The 17,090-nt window shown below is 35.0% G+C and overlaps 2 annotated features.

Moving 5' to 3' along the window:
* Window positions 15,582-15,726: an enhancer, noted in NCBI's record as "145 bp enhancer 244 fragment used in the MPRA reporter construct; PK_construct_295". NCBI's record gives its function as "activates an SV40 promoter by MPRA in HepG2 cells {active_cell/tissue: HepG2}" and the evidence as "EXISTENCE:reporter gene assay evidence [ECO:0000049][PMID:23512712]".
* Window positions 15,647-15,660: a transcriptional cis regulatory region, noted in NCBI's record as "HNF1 motif; enhancer activity is reduced when this motif is scrambled". NCBI's record gives its function as "necessary for full MPRA enhancer 244 activity {active_cell/tissue: HepG2}" and the evidence as "EXISTENCE:site-directed mutagenesis evidence [ECO:0005528][PMID:23512712]".

Raw genomic sequence — 17,090 nt, 5'->3', positions numbered from 1 at the left:
CCCACGTTCTGCTGCTTGGTCCATTTTACAGAGTGCTGATTGGTCCGTCTTTACAGAGTGCTGATTGGTGTGTTTACAAACCTTTAGCTAGACACAGAGCGCTGATTGGTGCATTTTTACAGAGTGCTGCTTGGTGCGTTTACAAATCTTAAGCTAGACACAGAGCACTGATTGGTGTGTTTACAATCCTTTAGCTAGACAGAAAAGTTCTCTAAGTCCCCACCTGACCCAGAAGCCCAGCCAGCTTCACCTCTCACTGCCACCGTGTGTCTTCCCTACCTTGGCATCTTTCACATCTAGCAATGTGGAGAGTAAAGAGGGTGTGTGGAAGATCTAACAGGGAAGTTGATAAGTATTTAATAGCAAGGACTGGAATTGCCATCCCTCACTGGCCACATCTCAAATACAAGGTTCCATCTAGATTCAAGTGTGTGAGAACTAGGAAATATAGTTTTGTTGTATGCACAGGAGAAAAATGAAACAGTTTCATGAACATTGTTTCCATTGCATCATATGCTCCTTCTTCCCAATTCTGTGGTAATTGTTTCCCCTTTTCCTAAGTCAATAATGATGGAATGTGTAAGAGGAAAGAAACCATTTAATAATGAAGGAAAAAAAATATATCAGGAGATATTTCAAAAGTATTACTCCTATTACCTTTCTAAAGGCCCCTTGTGGTACTCAGTTGCTAATGCTGACCTCTTCATATTTGAGGTTTGAATTTTGACTAATGAAGGCTGGTTTAATTTTGTTCTAAATCTCCTAACTTGTACAATGGGACCCTCTTGACCTGCTAGGTATGTAATTGAGCATAATAAAGTGATGGCTAAATTTTCAGAAAAGTAGTTAAGAGAAATTACTTTCTTAATACATTTGGATTTCCAAATACAACACTTTTCCGGCAAAAGTTGAACAAATGTTAGAGCTGATTATAATAAATATAATTCACAAATACTTTCAAAAGTAAGGTGTGTAATAGCTGGAAATATATATTATTCCATATATACATTAAGAATGATAGTTATAAATGAGAACACATGGAGACAGGGAAGGGAACAACACACACTGGGACCTGTTGGAGGAGGGCGGGTCAGGGGAGAGATTTAGGGAAAGAAAACAGCTGATGCGTGGTGGGCTTAATACCTAGGTGATGGGTTGATAGGTGCAGCAAACCACCATGGCACACACAAGTTTACCTATCTAACAAACCTACACAACCTGCACATGTATCTCAGAACTTAAAAAAATAAAATAATTAAAAAAAGAATGATAGTTACAGATGGATTTTTCCCTGGCTTGAATTATGCTGTAGACTTGAAACATCAACATGCAATAACTACAAAAATAATCATTAAACTTGTAACAATTTGAAATAACAACATGTAATAATTACTAAATTGAAAAGCATTAATTTTTGGAAATGATATTTAGGGTCATCGTGTAATGCAGAAATACCAGTTGAAATTATGATTATATAATTATAAAACCAGCTTGTTTTTCTGGAAACATTTTACATTTATATTTGATGTTGATTCTTCTCTCTTCTAAAAAACAAAGTAGATTAACTTTCATCCTTAAATGATTGACCTATAACCTTTCATTATTAATATTTTACCAGAAGATTCACATATATTTACAAAAATGTTTCTATATCTCATCATCATAAACATATGGGGGAAGGATACTGGGAAGATTGTTAATAACTTTTGGTTCAGAATGTAAGTTATTATTGATAGTAAAGTTCAAAGTAATGGAAACTGGTGCCTTCCTGCATTGATGACTTAATTTTTATGCCTGCTTTCATATCATTTAAAAATTTTCTAAATATTTCCCAATTCAAGGTGGTACATTAAAAAATTCACTAGCTAAGAATGATAACAGTGAATGTAATCGACTATAAGTTTTAATGGCTTAAGAGCAACAGTTAGTGTTCTCAGTCCCTTCTTTTTTGAAATGACTGATTTCATTTGTCTCACATATTGTTTCTGGAATATTTCAACAATCATTTCTTAGAATCCTGTTATTGCTTCATGAAAAGCTGAAACACATTAGCGATTATCATTGGTGACAGAGACATCACAGTTCTGGAAAGGAACATATGGTCCCTTTATGTCAGAGATTGAAAAAAATATTCAAGGCAAGCAATGAGTTTCTGCTGTACAATAAACTTTTCATTTTATACGTGGGAATAATTTCTGGACTTCTGCTATTTTATGACTAGGAAAAATATACATTAAAAATCAGAGCTGCTGACATAATTTACATAATGTAATGACTCATGTTTAGTTTACGTTGGTTTTAGTGGCTCTTAAAATACAGAAAATTTTAGAATGGCCTTGAAAATAGAAAACAATATAAATAATCTCAAATGGAAATTTTGAGGTTATTGTAAAACAAAGTACTGAATACTTTTCTCACTTTATACATACCCAAGTTCTTCTAGTCATAAATTCTGCCCAGTCATCGCATTCTTGATGCTGTATAGGATCCAAGATACAGCATTTCTAGAGGCGATTCCTAGTTCTCTGTTGTAAACAGGGAGTCCTAGGAATTTTTCCTAAAATTAAGTTTAATCATATACTGATAATAAATGACAACAAAATTTATCCTTTAATAATTACTTAGTTTCATCAAATATAGATTTTTTATTAGTGGTCTATTGACATACAAAGTCAGCAACTGTTTCTATCTTTTCTAGAATGCTACATTCTTATTTGTGAAGAGGAATGTCACAGACAGAACATATAATTGGCAATTAAATGATTTGAATGTTATTACTAGTTCTGTTTTAACTATCTGTGTCACTAAGGGTAAGATATTTAACCTTTAGAGAACTTAGTTTCCTCTTTTGTAAAAAAGAGCAACAAACTAAACCATTTCTCTAGGTCCTTCTAATTCTAAAGTTCTAAGAGTCTATGATACTATTATTCTAGCATAGCCAGCCCAGCCTCAAAGTCCTCATGCTAGTGAAAAAAAAAAAAAAAAAAAAAAAAGGCTGCAGTAAACGTTGTTGAATTTCTCCCTGGCATCCTTCCTGTATCCTAAAATAGTCTAATTTTGTTTTGGTATCTCCCTCCCCTTTCTCTCTCTCTCTCTCTCTCTCTCTCTCTCTCTCTCTCTCTCTCACACACACACACACACACACACCACACACGTGCACACACACACACACATCCTGAGTTGAGCTCTGAGTATTTAATACAAATCAGAGCAATCACACCCCTGGGCCAGTGATCAATAAAGGAATAGACATGTGCTACCATTTGCAGATATGAGGGATTTCTGGGACAATTTTTCCTTCATTATCTGGGAGACCTTTTAAGAGAGGGATTATTCAACTGGAGGCATAAAAGGAAGGATTCAACCCCAGGCTAATGGGCAGCTGTCCTCCAAGGAAAGCAGCTGTTATGATGTTAACGCTGTGGAAAACAGAGTGAAGGACCAGGATCCCTGATGACATTAGTAAGTTGACACAATAGTCGAGATAGAAAAGTCTTCATGTTTTGAGAGACTTTGAGTTTTATTATTATTTAGCCAGTTTGAATTAGGTTTTCACTTAATGACAGTTGAAACATCTAATATGATGCCATTGCATCCCATTAGAAAATACACATGAAAGCCCTTTAGGAAGTCAAATGTGTTATAAAAAATTTAAGGGCTAAATTGTTTGATTGAACCACTTCTCTGAAACGAATCTGCTTTTATAAATTTAATTGTCCCATAAATATTTATTGAGAACCTGTCATAGGCTGGGCAGTACATTCAGAGTACATAACTTTAGGACACATACTAATTAGTGGACTTCCTTAAGGCCATGCAGGGGGACTGAAGCAGAAGTAGAGAAAAGATTAGAAATCTTGATTTCTAATTCAACCAAAAGACTTTTTTATATGCCTTTTAGCATCTTGATAAAATGTTCACTTCTGGGAAAGACATTTCTACTTAGGATATGCTGCTTATAAGGCAATGTTAGGACATTCTGATCATAAGGCAATATTAGGACATTCTCTGCTACAAACAAGCCATTTTACAATTCTCTGACACTGTTCCAGAGGGGAAATTGGGTGATAGAAGGAGCAAACTAACAAAAGTTCATCACTGCTACAGGAAAATCAGATTTGGGGGCAAGTAGTGTCTGTTGCCTTTCAGTACATCATGTCTAAAATGCACACGATTGATGACTATCTCATTTTCATTACCACTTTCTCACTCTAATGCAGATTCTTTCAACCTCATGACTTGGTTAATGCCAAACTTCCTTCATTCATTCAACAAATATGGAGTTCTTACTGTGTATGGCAGACATGGTGCTGTTAGGATCTGAAAGTTCTTGCTTTACATCTTTCATGCCTCCCAATAGTTTTCAATAAAACTGGCAAAAACCTTCAACTGTCTTTCAAGATTTTCTCATCCTACCTACCTTTTGACCTTATCTTCTGCTACTATCTTATAGGACTTTTTTTTTTATGTTGAAACTTCTTGGTCCCCAAATGCTCTTTGCAATTAACCACTCACTAGTTTTACTTTTAGAACTTTTTTTATTCTTGCTTTTCTTAGTCAACTTCTTTTTAATCCAAATACAGATTAGCTGTCATCTGTTTTAAGAAAAATTATTATAAATCTAGCCTTTTGCACCCAAAGTATTAAGTGTAAAGGCAAAATAAGAACAGTTTTGGAAAACAAGGACTCAGAAAATTTGCCTACCACACTGCCTTCCTAAAATTATTGTTTGAGGATATAATTTCGTAAAATAAAAAAATACAAGAAATAGGACAACATGAAAAACAAAAAAAATGTGAGTGACATTTGGTTCTTCAGATATAATTAGATACTTAATACATTAAAGCAATCAATTTGTTTTTTTGGTGTGATTAGGGTGTTTTTAATTTTTTTCAATTTTATTTACATTTTCTAATTTTTTAACTATGAACAAGCACTATTTTGACTGTCAAAAGAAAACAAAAAATACAATTTAAAAACATTTAACTGTTACTTTAGAATATAGATAAAGAAAGTTTTTCTTCTTGAAAATGGCTTCATGGTACAATCATAAAGATACTTAGAGTCTTAGTAGTCAATTTTTAAGACAGTGCTTTTACAAAATGCTTTACTTCTATTGGAAATATCAAAAATACCTAACCATAGAACCTTGTTTATATTAATTTCCCTCTGCTTTATTAAGGTATAATTGACAAGTAAAAAAGTATATATTTAAGATGTACAGTGAGATGTTTTGATTTATACATATATTGTGAAATGATTATGACAATCAAGCTAATTAACATATCTATCATCTCACATAATTACCATTTGTGTGTGTGTAGTGAGAATACTTAACGTCTACTGGCTTAGTAAATTTCAAGTATCCAATACATTATTATTTACTATAGTCACCATGCTGTACTTTAGGTCTCCAGAACTTATTCTTCTTGAAATTGGACGTTTGTATCTTTTCAACAACATCTCCTCATTTCTCCCACTACCCTGACCCTTGGTAATCATCCTTATACTCTCTGTTTTTGTAAGTTTGAAATTTTTTAGATTCCACATATAAGTGAGATGATGCAATATTTGTCTTTGTGTATCTGGGTTATTTCATTTATGATAATATCCTCCAGATTCATCTATATTGTCACAGATGGCAGGATTTTCTTCTTTTTAAAGGCTGAATAATATTCCATTATTATAAAGCTGTATATATACCTATAGATGTATAAGATTAGCATTTTCTTTATCCATTCATCTATTGATGTACACTTACATTGTTTCTTTTTCTTGGCTAATGTGAATAATGCTGCAATTAACATGGAAGTGCAGATATCTCTTTGAAACAGTAATTTTATTTCTTTTGGATATATACTGAATTGGGGATTGCTGGATCATATGGTAGCTCTATTTTAATTTTTTGAGACTCTTCCATACTGTTTTCCATAATGACTGTACCAATTTACGTGCCAACCAACGATGTATAAAGTTTCCCTTTTCTCCACATCCTTGCTGAAAATTATCTTTTGACTTTTTGATAATAGCTACCCTAATAGGTATGAGGTGAAATTTCATTGTGGTTTGATTTACATTTCCCAGATTAATAGTGTTGAACATTTTAAAAATATTCTGTTGGCCATTTGTAAGTAGGTCCTTTGCCCAGTTTTAATTGGGTTATATGTGGGTTTCCTTTTTGTTGTTGTTGTTGTTATTGAGTTATATGAGTTTCTTATATAGTTTGGATGTCAATACCTTATCAGATATGGTTTGCAAATATTTTTCCCATTCTACAGGTTGCCTTTGTATTATATTACTTTTGATATATCCATATAATAGAGAACTATGCAGTAGTAAAAGCTGATGTTGTAAAGGCATGTTTCTTGGCATGGAAGGATATAAATTTTAGCATTAAGTGAAAAGAAGTGTTGTCTTACATTTCTAAGAAAAACACAGGACAGACACAATAAAATAACTAATTTTTTTCTAAGTGATTAAATTATGGTTAATTTTTGATTTCTGCTTTCTACTTTCTATATTTTATATAATAACTATGTATTTCATATATTATAAAGCACTTTAAAGTATATACTAGTGAGTTTCTTGGAGTATAAGAGAAATTACTTGAGTTGGTAGAAATTACCTGCAATTACACACAGGGGCATAAGGGATCCAGGAACTCCCAGCACCTTTTTCGCTGGGACCTAGATCCTCCAAAACTATGATGTACAACAGACTTTAAAAGGTCAGTCAGTCTAAGTACATCAGCCTGAGTTTGGGGAACCAGGTTTCCCTCTGTTTCCTTGACATCTATATTACCAAAAAGAAGTTATTACCGTCTATATTACTAAAAACACTGGTTAAGCTTGCCATAATGTGATGTAGATTGCTATTCAGCAATGGCTAGGTCAAATCTCCTTAGAGGCACAAGCCAGCTCCATGCTTACTTTCAACTAAGGCACCCAATTTTTAATCAAATTATTAATGAAATGTGCGAGCAACAAGAAATATGCTTAGAGAAAGCAAGAATTCCTCAAGAGAACACCACAGACTGTTCTACAAGTTCATATAGGTGAGGTGGGAGTTTGCTCAGTGCAGTGAAAAGTAAGCATAAACAGGTTACCAGTCCTAACCGAGAGAAAAGATTTCTCTAATAAGGCATATCCTTCCTCTGTTTTTATGCTATCTATATTTATATCTATGTCTACATCTAATTTGTCTATATCTATGTCCATATGTATACCTATAAGTATCTCTAAATCCATATCTGTAATTTCCCACCAAAACCTTGAAGCCACTGTTCCATTTTTTTCAGGGACCCAGTACTGTTGATTAGAATTCTGATGTCATTCTGATTCCCATTTCTTTGTTGATATCAAATTTTAACATTCTGGAAGTTTTCAGAATGCTTTCCCTCTTCACTGAATTCAGTAAATGTCTAGATGTCCAGAATGGCTAATTAGTGTAGATGTAGTATAAACATTTATTAAATATCCTGATGATGATTGTCTTGTAGCCCACCCCTATTCTGATTGCAGTAGCTCCATTGAGTTGTTTGCTTTCAGGAATTCCACCTCCGATTTTTTTTTTTTCTTGCTTGTGCCTTGGTGGGCTCTTTCAATATAAAGACTCATGTCTTTTAAGCTTTGGAAGTTTTCTTCTACTAGTGTTACTTTATTATTATTATCCTTATCTTCTTGAGTTCTATTTAGTCTATCTGGAGCTTACCATTTCTCTTATATTTTCCATTTCTATGTTTTTGTTTTTGTTTTTTCCCTAAAAGATTTATTCAATCTTATCTTGCATGGCACTAATTTGGTCTTTAGCAATGTTCATTCGTGATTCTTCTTCACTGAAATTTTTATGTAGAAAAAACCTTATGAGCTCCTTTCCAAGAACATTTTCTTTTTCTTTGACTGCTTCATATATTTATATATATATATATATATATATGAATATATATGTATGTGTGTGTGTATATATATATGAATGTAGATGTATATATATAGCAGTCTATTCCAGTTTTATGGATGCAGGTGCTATTTTCTCTGAAATTAATTTAGAATTATTTAAAATTGTCCTTCTGCAGGCCGGGCATGGTGGCTCATGCCTGTAATCCCAGCACTTTGGGAGGCTGAGGCAGGAAGATCACCTGAGGTCAGGAGTTCAAGACCAGGCTGGCCAACATGGCGAAACCCCATTTCTACTAAAAATACAAAAATTAGCTGGATGTAGTGGTGTGTGTCTGTAACCCCAGCTACTCAGGAGGCTGAGGCAGGAGAATTTCTTGAACCCGGGAGGCAGAGATTGCAGTGAGCCGAGATCATGCCACTGCACCCCAGCCTGAATAACAGAGCAAGACTCTGTCTCAAAAAAATAAAATAAAATAAAATAAAAAATAAAATTTTCAATCTGCAAAAACTACAAAACACTGTTTAAAGAAATCATACATGACACAAACAAATGGAAACACATCCCACGCTCATGGGTGGATAGAATCAATATTGTGAAAATGACCATACTGCCAAAAGCAATCTACGAATTCAATGCAATCCCCATGAAAATATCACCATCATTCTTCACAGAATTAGAAAAAAAAATTCTAAAATTCATATGGAACCAAAAAAGAGCCCACATAGGCAAAGCAAGACTAACAAAAAGAACAAATATGAAGCCATCTTACTACCTTATTTCAAACTATACTATAAGGCCATAGTCACCAAAACAGCATAGTACTTATATAAAAATGGGTACATAGACCAATGCAACAGAACAGAGAACCCATAAATAAACCCAAATACTTACAGACAACTGATCTTCAACAAAGAAAACAAAAACATAGAATGGGGAAAGGACAACCTTTTCAACAAATGGTGCTGGGATAATTGGCTACCCACATGTAGGAGAACAAAACTGGATTCTCATCTCTCACCTTACACAAAAATCAACTCAAGATGGATCAAGAACTTAAGCCTAAGACCTGAAACTATAAAAATTCTAGAAGATAACATTGGAAAAACTCTTCTAGACATTGGCTTAGGCAAGAATTTCAGGACCAAGAACCCAAAAGCAAATGCAATAAAAACAAAGATAAATACCTGGGACTTAATTAAACTAAAGAGCTTTGGCACAGGAAAAGGAACAGTCAGCAGAGTAAACAGACAACCCACAGAGTGGGAGAAAAACTTCGCAATCTATACATCTGACAAAGGACTAATATTCAGAATCTATAACGAACTTAAACACGTCAGCAAGAAAATAAAAAAAACAAGCAATCCTACCAAAAAGTAGGCTAAGGACATGAATAGACAATTCTCAAAAGAAGATAAACAAATGACTAACAAACATATGAAAAAATGCACAATATCACAAATGATCAGGGAAATGCAAATCAAAACCACAATACATTACCGCCTTACTCCTGCAAGAATGGCCATAATAAAAAAATTAAAAAACAGTAGATGTTGGCGTCGATGTGGTGAACAGGGAACACTTCTACACTGCTGGTGGGAATGTAAGCTAGTACAACCACTATGGAAAACAGTGTGGAGATTCCTTACAGAACTAAAAGTAGAACAACCATTTGATCCAGCAATCCCATTACTGGTTATCTACCCAGATGAAAAGAAGTCATTATATGAAAAAGATACTTGCACATGCAAGTTTATAGCAGCATAATTCACAATTGCAAAATCGTGGAACCAATCCAAATGCCTATCAATAAATGAGTGGATAAAGAATCTGTGGTATCTATCTATCCGTATATAGATATAGATATATATGATGGAATACTACTTAGCCATATAAAGGAACGAACTAACGGCAATCACAGTGATCTGGATGCAATCAGAGACTATTATTATAAATGAAGTAACTCAGGAAATGAAAAACAAACATCGTATGTTCTCACTGATATGTGGGAACTAAGCTATGAGGACTCAGAGGCATAAGAATGATACGATGGACTTTGGGGTCTTTGGGGGAAGAATGGGAGGGAGGCAAGGGATAAAAGACTACAAATAGGGTGCAGTGTATAATGCTTTGCTGATGGGTGCACCAAAATCTCACAAATCACTACTAAAGAACTTACTCCTGTAATCAAACACCACCTGTACCCCAATAACCTATGGAAAAATGAAAAACAAGACAAAACAAAAAAAACTTTATGCTAAGAGAAAGAAGCCAGTCACAAAATGTACATCTGTGTGTTTCCATTCATATGAAATGTCCAGAATAGGAAAATCCACAGAGACAAAGTAGATTAGTGGTTGTCATGGGCTGGAAGTAGTGGTGGAATGGGGGGTGACTGCTAATGGGTACAGTATTTCTTTTTGGAATAAGGAAAATGTTCTGAGATTAGGTTGTGATGATTGAGAACATCTGTGAATACACTGAAAACTACTGAACTATACACTTTAAAAGGGTGAGTTCTATAATATGTACATTAATAAAATTTTCCTTCTGCAGTATCATTGTTTCCTCTAGGGTTAGGGGTTCTGTTTATTTATCACGATCCTTCTCTTCTAAACTGCTCATTTTTCCCAGTCTTAAGGTCAGCTGTAAGGCTCAGAAAGTCAGATATTTTCTGACTCTCAGTTGTCTCTTCATATTTGTGAAGGAATAACTAGTTTGATAATTCTGGACAACTAATATTGGGGTTCCTCTGCAGTTATGTGGGCCAGTTTACACTGAAGTTGTCTTCTTGGAATGAAGGAGGCTAAGGTCTTCCTTTTTGAGTACAGGTGAGCTTAGTCCCCCATGACTGATGATGTTAGGAATCCAGGGTTATGTCAGGCTCTGTTCTGTTTATCTCTGGCCCTAACACCCATGCTGGGATTGCTTGCCAGGAAGGCCTTTTTACTTTATTTAGCAACATCCTTGCTGGTCTGGAGCCTGTGTGCTCAGAATCATTCCTTGCCCTTGCTCTGCTCTGTATCATAGGAAGACTGACTGCAGCAGGCTACATTTCCTGGGTTTCACCCAAGATGGTTCTGGCTGGATTTGGCCAATGGGACACAGAGGCAGCAGATTGAGATATGGGAAAGGATGATGAAAACACCTTTTCCTCCTCCCTCTTTACCTGTTTATCTTGGATGGTATCTCCAGAAATAGCATCAATTTTCCCTGGACAGGTTGCCTTTAAATTGCTGCTGAGTGACCCGACCCCTTGTCTTCAGGGATACCAACTCCATCCTGCTTCCTGTTTCTGCCTTCTATCCCCAGTGTGGCTTCTCAGCAGCACCAGCCCCTGGGTAATTGGTTCTGTGTATTAAATTCTGCCTGTGGTAAATACTTCATTTCCATTTCCTGGTTGGACCCTGGCTAATATAGTAGGCTGCTTTAGGGTTAGGAAAAATTCTGCAGCTGCATTGTATTTTTGGGGGCATGATGATGGCTAGTTAGTCTAAGTGTATTGTAGATATTTCTTAGATTAAATATTCCATAGCTCTCTCCTCCTGATATGATTGTATTTTCTCCAATCTGTTTGCTGTCTCCCAGAAATTCTCCAAAATTTTCATCAACTGAAGGGGCCACTCTTACTTTCATTACATGTAATGATTTCTTCTCTTTTTTCATATCTTAACTGGCAGTGCAGCATAGGGGCTCACTTCATAAGCCCGGATTCAAGCTCTGGCTCCTCCAATTACTGTTTTACCACTCCACACAAGTTCCTTAACTATTTTATGCCTCTACTTTTATATCTGTAAAATGGGAGATCCTGAGAATTCAATGCTATACACGCAGAAGAGTGCCTGGCATAGTTGGTACTCAACAGAAATTAGCTATCGTTGTTTTAGTTGCTATTATTATTTAAAATTTTATTTTAATCAAATTTTGGTATGGAAGAGAGATAAATGCCCATACTAGTCAACTATCTTGAACTGGAAGCATGAGCCTGACTTTGAACTATTAAAATGCTAATCAGCATGTGATTAAACAGCACATGCAAAAGAAAAAAATGAAAAGAAAAATGGTAAAATCTGCTTGTGATAAAGACAAGAAGGTAGGTAGTAATTACAAAAAGCAGCCTGACAGCACACATTTGCAAGAGGACTCCACATCAAATGGCACTTCAGATTATATTGAATCTTTTTTCTTAACAGGATAAAATAAGTAAAGATTTCCTTCCCCAAATATAGCTTTAAATGCCTGGAGCAATAATTCATATTGGCACTACCCTTGCTTTATAATAGTTTTTGTAATCTTTTGGAATAAGTCTTCTTTTCAACAGCAGATAAATAATGTAAAACAAAATGTTCTATCTTCTACCAGCCCTGAAAAATTATTTTCTCATATTTGTAAAAAATGGCATTGCAAAACCTCACAATAACATAGGTTGAGCCAATTCCAGTCCTTTGGGATTTTCTTTCATTTTAACTAGTATTTCAACTTGCAATTTGATTTTAATTTTATAGCAAGATTTAAGAGCAAAAGTTTCTTGGAAGATATCTGGATGCCAAGTTAATTCCATTACATCTCTTTCTAGAAAATCTGTCTTCAGATATAAGGGCCTCAAACTATTGGCTGCTGACATGGCCTTGAGGACCATCTTTGTCTGTTTATTTAATTTATTTCCATTGTTATCTTAATGCCAAGAGAAAGTGACAGGCTTTGACAGTATTCAGCTTTATTTTAATGTCTATATGATTCTGACTTTATTACAAAATTTCTCTTTTATTTAAAAAGTACTTTCTTATTCAGCAGTTTTGTTAGTTACTCCAAAAATGATATTTCTTTGTTCCTTAAAATATTTGTGAATCTTAAGTTGCAAAATGATCTGAAAAACAAAAATAGGTTATGATAGCTGCATATAGAAAAACTGGATTTTAAAATAAATGCAAAAATTTACATTGTAAGTTGTAAAAAGAGGCATTTAATTTGTTAAAAAGAAGCATTTAATTTGTTCTTTAATAGACTGTCATAAAAGTTATACTTTAATATAATATTTAAAAATTTAATTGAAAAAGTTATATTTTACAGGTAAAGAATTCTCTGAATGATATGCTTTTGCCATGTCAATTGTCCTTTAAGTGAAAAAAAAATGTCTGTGGAGACAAAAAAAATACATGATTGCCATACTATTTTGTTGTTGTTGCTGAGTATTTGCTTAAAAATATCTACATGATGAGTAACAAGTAATTCCTGGTCCCAGGATATTACAGCTGTAACATTCAAAACACAGATTCAATATCAAAACACATTTATTATGCCTAAAAAAAGTGCCTTGCAAAATGTGCTTTGTACCAAAGCATGAAAAGTTTGAACATGAGAATAAACTTGACCAACTTCTTTTGTCTTTATAAGATTCAATGCTTGCCAAAGTGTACATCTGTTTATTCTACGCGATTACTAATCTTTCTTTTTTTTTTTTTTTTTTGAGACGGAGTCTCACTGTGTCACCCAGGTTGGAGTGCAGTGGCATGATCTCAGATCCCTGCAACCTCTGCCTCCTGGGTTCGAGTGATTCTTGTGCCTCAGCCTCCCAGGTAGCTGGGATTATAGGCACGTGCCACCACGCCCTGCTAATTTTTGTATTTTTAAAAGAGACAGGGATTCACCATGTTGGCCAGACTGGTCCCGAGCTCCAGACCTTAAGTGATCCGCCCACCTCAGCCTCCCAAAGCACTGGGATTACAGGCATGAGCCACTGCGCCCTGCTGATTACTAATGATTTCCTCAGAGTTTACAGCATCCCTTCTGGGCTTATGCACATGTGGCAAAACTATCCTCTTTTTTTTTTTAATGATAATGAGTGAAAACTGAAATTACTTTCAATAATCCAAAAGCAACTCTAGAAGGTATCTATTTACACAGTAACTTGTGTTCAAATGCCACAACAATTTTATCTCCAATTCAAGAATCCATGGAAGGAAAAAAATATGTTGTGCCTTAGGAAATATCTGCATTTAGTAACCTAGTGAGAACATTTCCAGTGGAAAATGTGTCAGTAATTGCTGGGAGATGCAATGGAATGTCAGAAAGTGAAAAATTAGCAAAGTGATAATCCTTAGAAAAAATTATACTTTACTATTACAGTTTTCAACACTGAAAAAGAAATGTTTGATTCTACATAAGTATAAATGCCCCATCTTTATCTGTCTACATAGTTGTTTTATGTAAAATTAACAAATAATATAATTTGCATGACTGCATAAGAAATATAAATAATTTGCAGCAAAATATAATTTTTAGCCATTAATCTCAGCTGAATAAGACTACTGAGTTTAATGAAGGCTCTTCTATTCCTACACACAAAATCCTAATTACCTCTATTCTTCCTGAAGAACAAAATCTCCAGACACATTTACTTCAATAAAATGAGTTTATTAAGCCTAAAATTCTAAGTAGAAGGCAATCTAGAGGGTGAATAAACAGAAACAGTCAAGGACATAATGTTCATGAAACTGTATAATACATTTAATTGAAAGAACTGACAGATATTTCAGAATGAACTTTCAGGATTAAATATGATTGTAAATAGTAAGAAAAAAAAAGATGTATATATTAGGCACAAACACATCCAGTTTTAAAAAACAGAATTTAGCAATGTAGAGAGCCGGTGCTACCAAACATCTCTGAAATATGTGCAGGTATGTGTTTTTGTATGTGTATATATTCATATAATGTGTGCATATATATTTGCACAGAGGAAAATGTGACAATAACATAGTCTTTTCAGCATGTGGAAATGGGAAACAGAAAGTTCAAAACTTCCAGCTCCCCTCCTATATACACATACATCCATATACACACACAGCCCATACACAAACCCTCACCGATATTGAGTGAATTCTAACTTCAGGACTAAGTTGTTATTAAATCTTTCTTTTTCTCTAACAGTGTTTTCAAAATTTCTTTATTTGTATTCACATTTTGAGATTTTTACTGTATTCATGTATCACTTGTACTATTATTTACTTAACATTTTTTTCTTAAAACAACTTACTTTTAAAATTTATCAAAGAGAAATCTCATTATCACTACTATACCATCAGTATCAATTGCCATAAAGAGATAATGAAAAAATAATAACGTTGGTAAGTTCTAGCTAGATGTTGTTGACTACCAAATGTTCTAAGCCTGAAGCTTGCTTTCTCTCTGTTAAAACATTAGATATTAAAGGCTAGCCCCCAAATGAGACTTTCTTTACTGAAGAAATTAAAGGATTGAAGCAAATTAGAAAAGAAAATAATTTTCTCATTATAGGTTTCTGATACCATTATTTGCCTGATTAGAGTACCACCTGATATTGTCTGGCATACCATCGAGAGTTGTCTCAAATACCAATAGTATCCCAGGCTGTGGGAGGCCTTGCTGTTTTCCAGTTGCCACTGCTATTTTGGTCTCTGCTTCTTTTGTTTTAGATAGTAGAATGAGAAAGAGTGGGGTACCTTAGTAATATGTGTTTTTCTACTTTCTTCAATGGGTAAGAAATATAAATAATGAGGAGTCTGAGATATCTAATCCATCAAAAGTGAAAATAATTTAGTAAACAATCTGTACCACTGGTGTAAACTGGCAACTCCACGTAAAAAATGTCACCAGTAATTGAACATCTCTTTCCTGTACTGCTCAATAATGTCCCAGAACTGAAAGACAAACATGAACTTAGGATTGGAAGCTAATAAATGAGACACTTTTCCTGGGAGGCTGAGGGTAGCAGGGTTAATGAATTACAGATGAGATTGTTTACATGAGTGGGTGCTGTTTGCTTTCCTTGACATCAGTGCTATCCTTTCCAGTCAGAGTAAGTTCACTGACAATAGAAGTGGGGAAGAGGAAACCAACCTAGCTCTAAAACAATGTTTAATTCCTTTTTAAATCTGTAATTCCAAAAGAATGTTTATGTTGCCTTTTTCTACTGCTGGGGAAAGGTTAATTTCTAGTTGGCTTTTAGTGCTACAAACTTGCTATTCAATAAGAAATATTTCCAAAACAACACGTTCTAGTTCAAGGCCAAGGCTGGTGTGGGCTTCTGTGTATGTGTAGTGGTGTGTGTATACTGCACTTTTCATAAATCCAAGAGAAATTTTAGAAGCCATTGTACGATCTGGATGAGTTAGGGGCTTAAAAGTAAGGAAAACAGGACTCTGCCTCCTCCTGTCTCACACTATTAGAATTCTCATGATCCAGAAGGGTAGTTCAGAACTACTGAACTAAAGACCCACTCAGAGTTGGCCCTGAAAAATAGTGGTGAAAGGAACTCACCACAATGTGTAGAGCTTTGGGTGGTCCATGTGGCTGAACTCTTATTCTGGAAGGAAAGATGGCTTAATGTATGAATGTACTTGATTCATAAACTGTGGCTAATGAACTGGTCGACTGGTCATGAATTTGAAATGAACACTTTTGGTGACAAAGGAGGTCTAGGGAACAGGTATATAGATGGATCTATTATAATGGGCACAGAGGGCAACACATTTGTGATTCATGTAAATGCTTACCCAAGGGCTTCATCTGTGAGGGCTTTTAATCATTAGGTAGATAATTGATCCCATCATGGATGTCAGACAGCTTCTTATTCCAGCACACTAGTGCCTGTTGGATGGGTCCACTACAAAGTGGCCCTGACATCAAGAATGGAGATTATGTGTGAGCTCAACAACAGAATCTTGCTCTCATCAAGGCTGATCTGGCTTCTAGACACTCAACTGAGTGTGCAATTTGACTGCAGAGAGGACAGCAATGAGTTCCTGCATCACATATTAAGGGAACGGCTGGCAACCTGCTCATCATGGAGGAGGCAGCAGTTGTCCACACAGGGACAAATGTGTATTCAGGAACAGATCTGCCTTTCCTGCTGGCTTCTGCCAGCATCTTGATTCATGGATTACAGATTGCTGTATCCATGGCAATCCACAAAACATTACCTTTGACCAGGAGATTTGTTTTAAAGCAAAGGAAGTGAGACATTGGACTGATGCCAGTGGAATTCACTTTGATCTTATTTGCGTTAAGGCCAAAACACTTACCTTGATAGAAGAGTACAATGTCCTGAGGAAGCTCAGCTACAGTGCGAGCTAAAAACATACTCTGTGAGATTTGGTACCATTTTACAAGATGCAGCTAATACCCCTTAAGCCAGCAGCTAATATTTGACTCTATCT

Source organism: Homo sapiens, chromosome 3, assembly GCF_000001405.40.
Source record: "Homo sapiens chromosome 3, GRCh38.p14 Primary Assembly".
Taxonomy (NCBI): Eukaryota; Metazoa; Chordata; class Mammalia; order Primates; family Hominidae; genus Homo; species Homo sapiens.
This window is presented reverse-complemented; position numbering and strand designations above follow the sequence as displayed.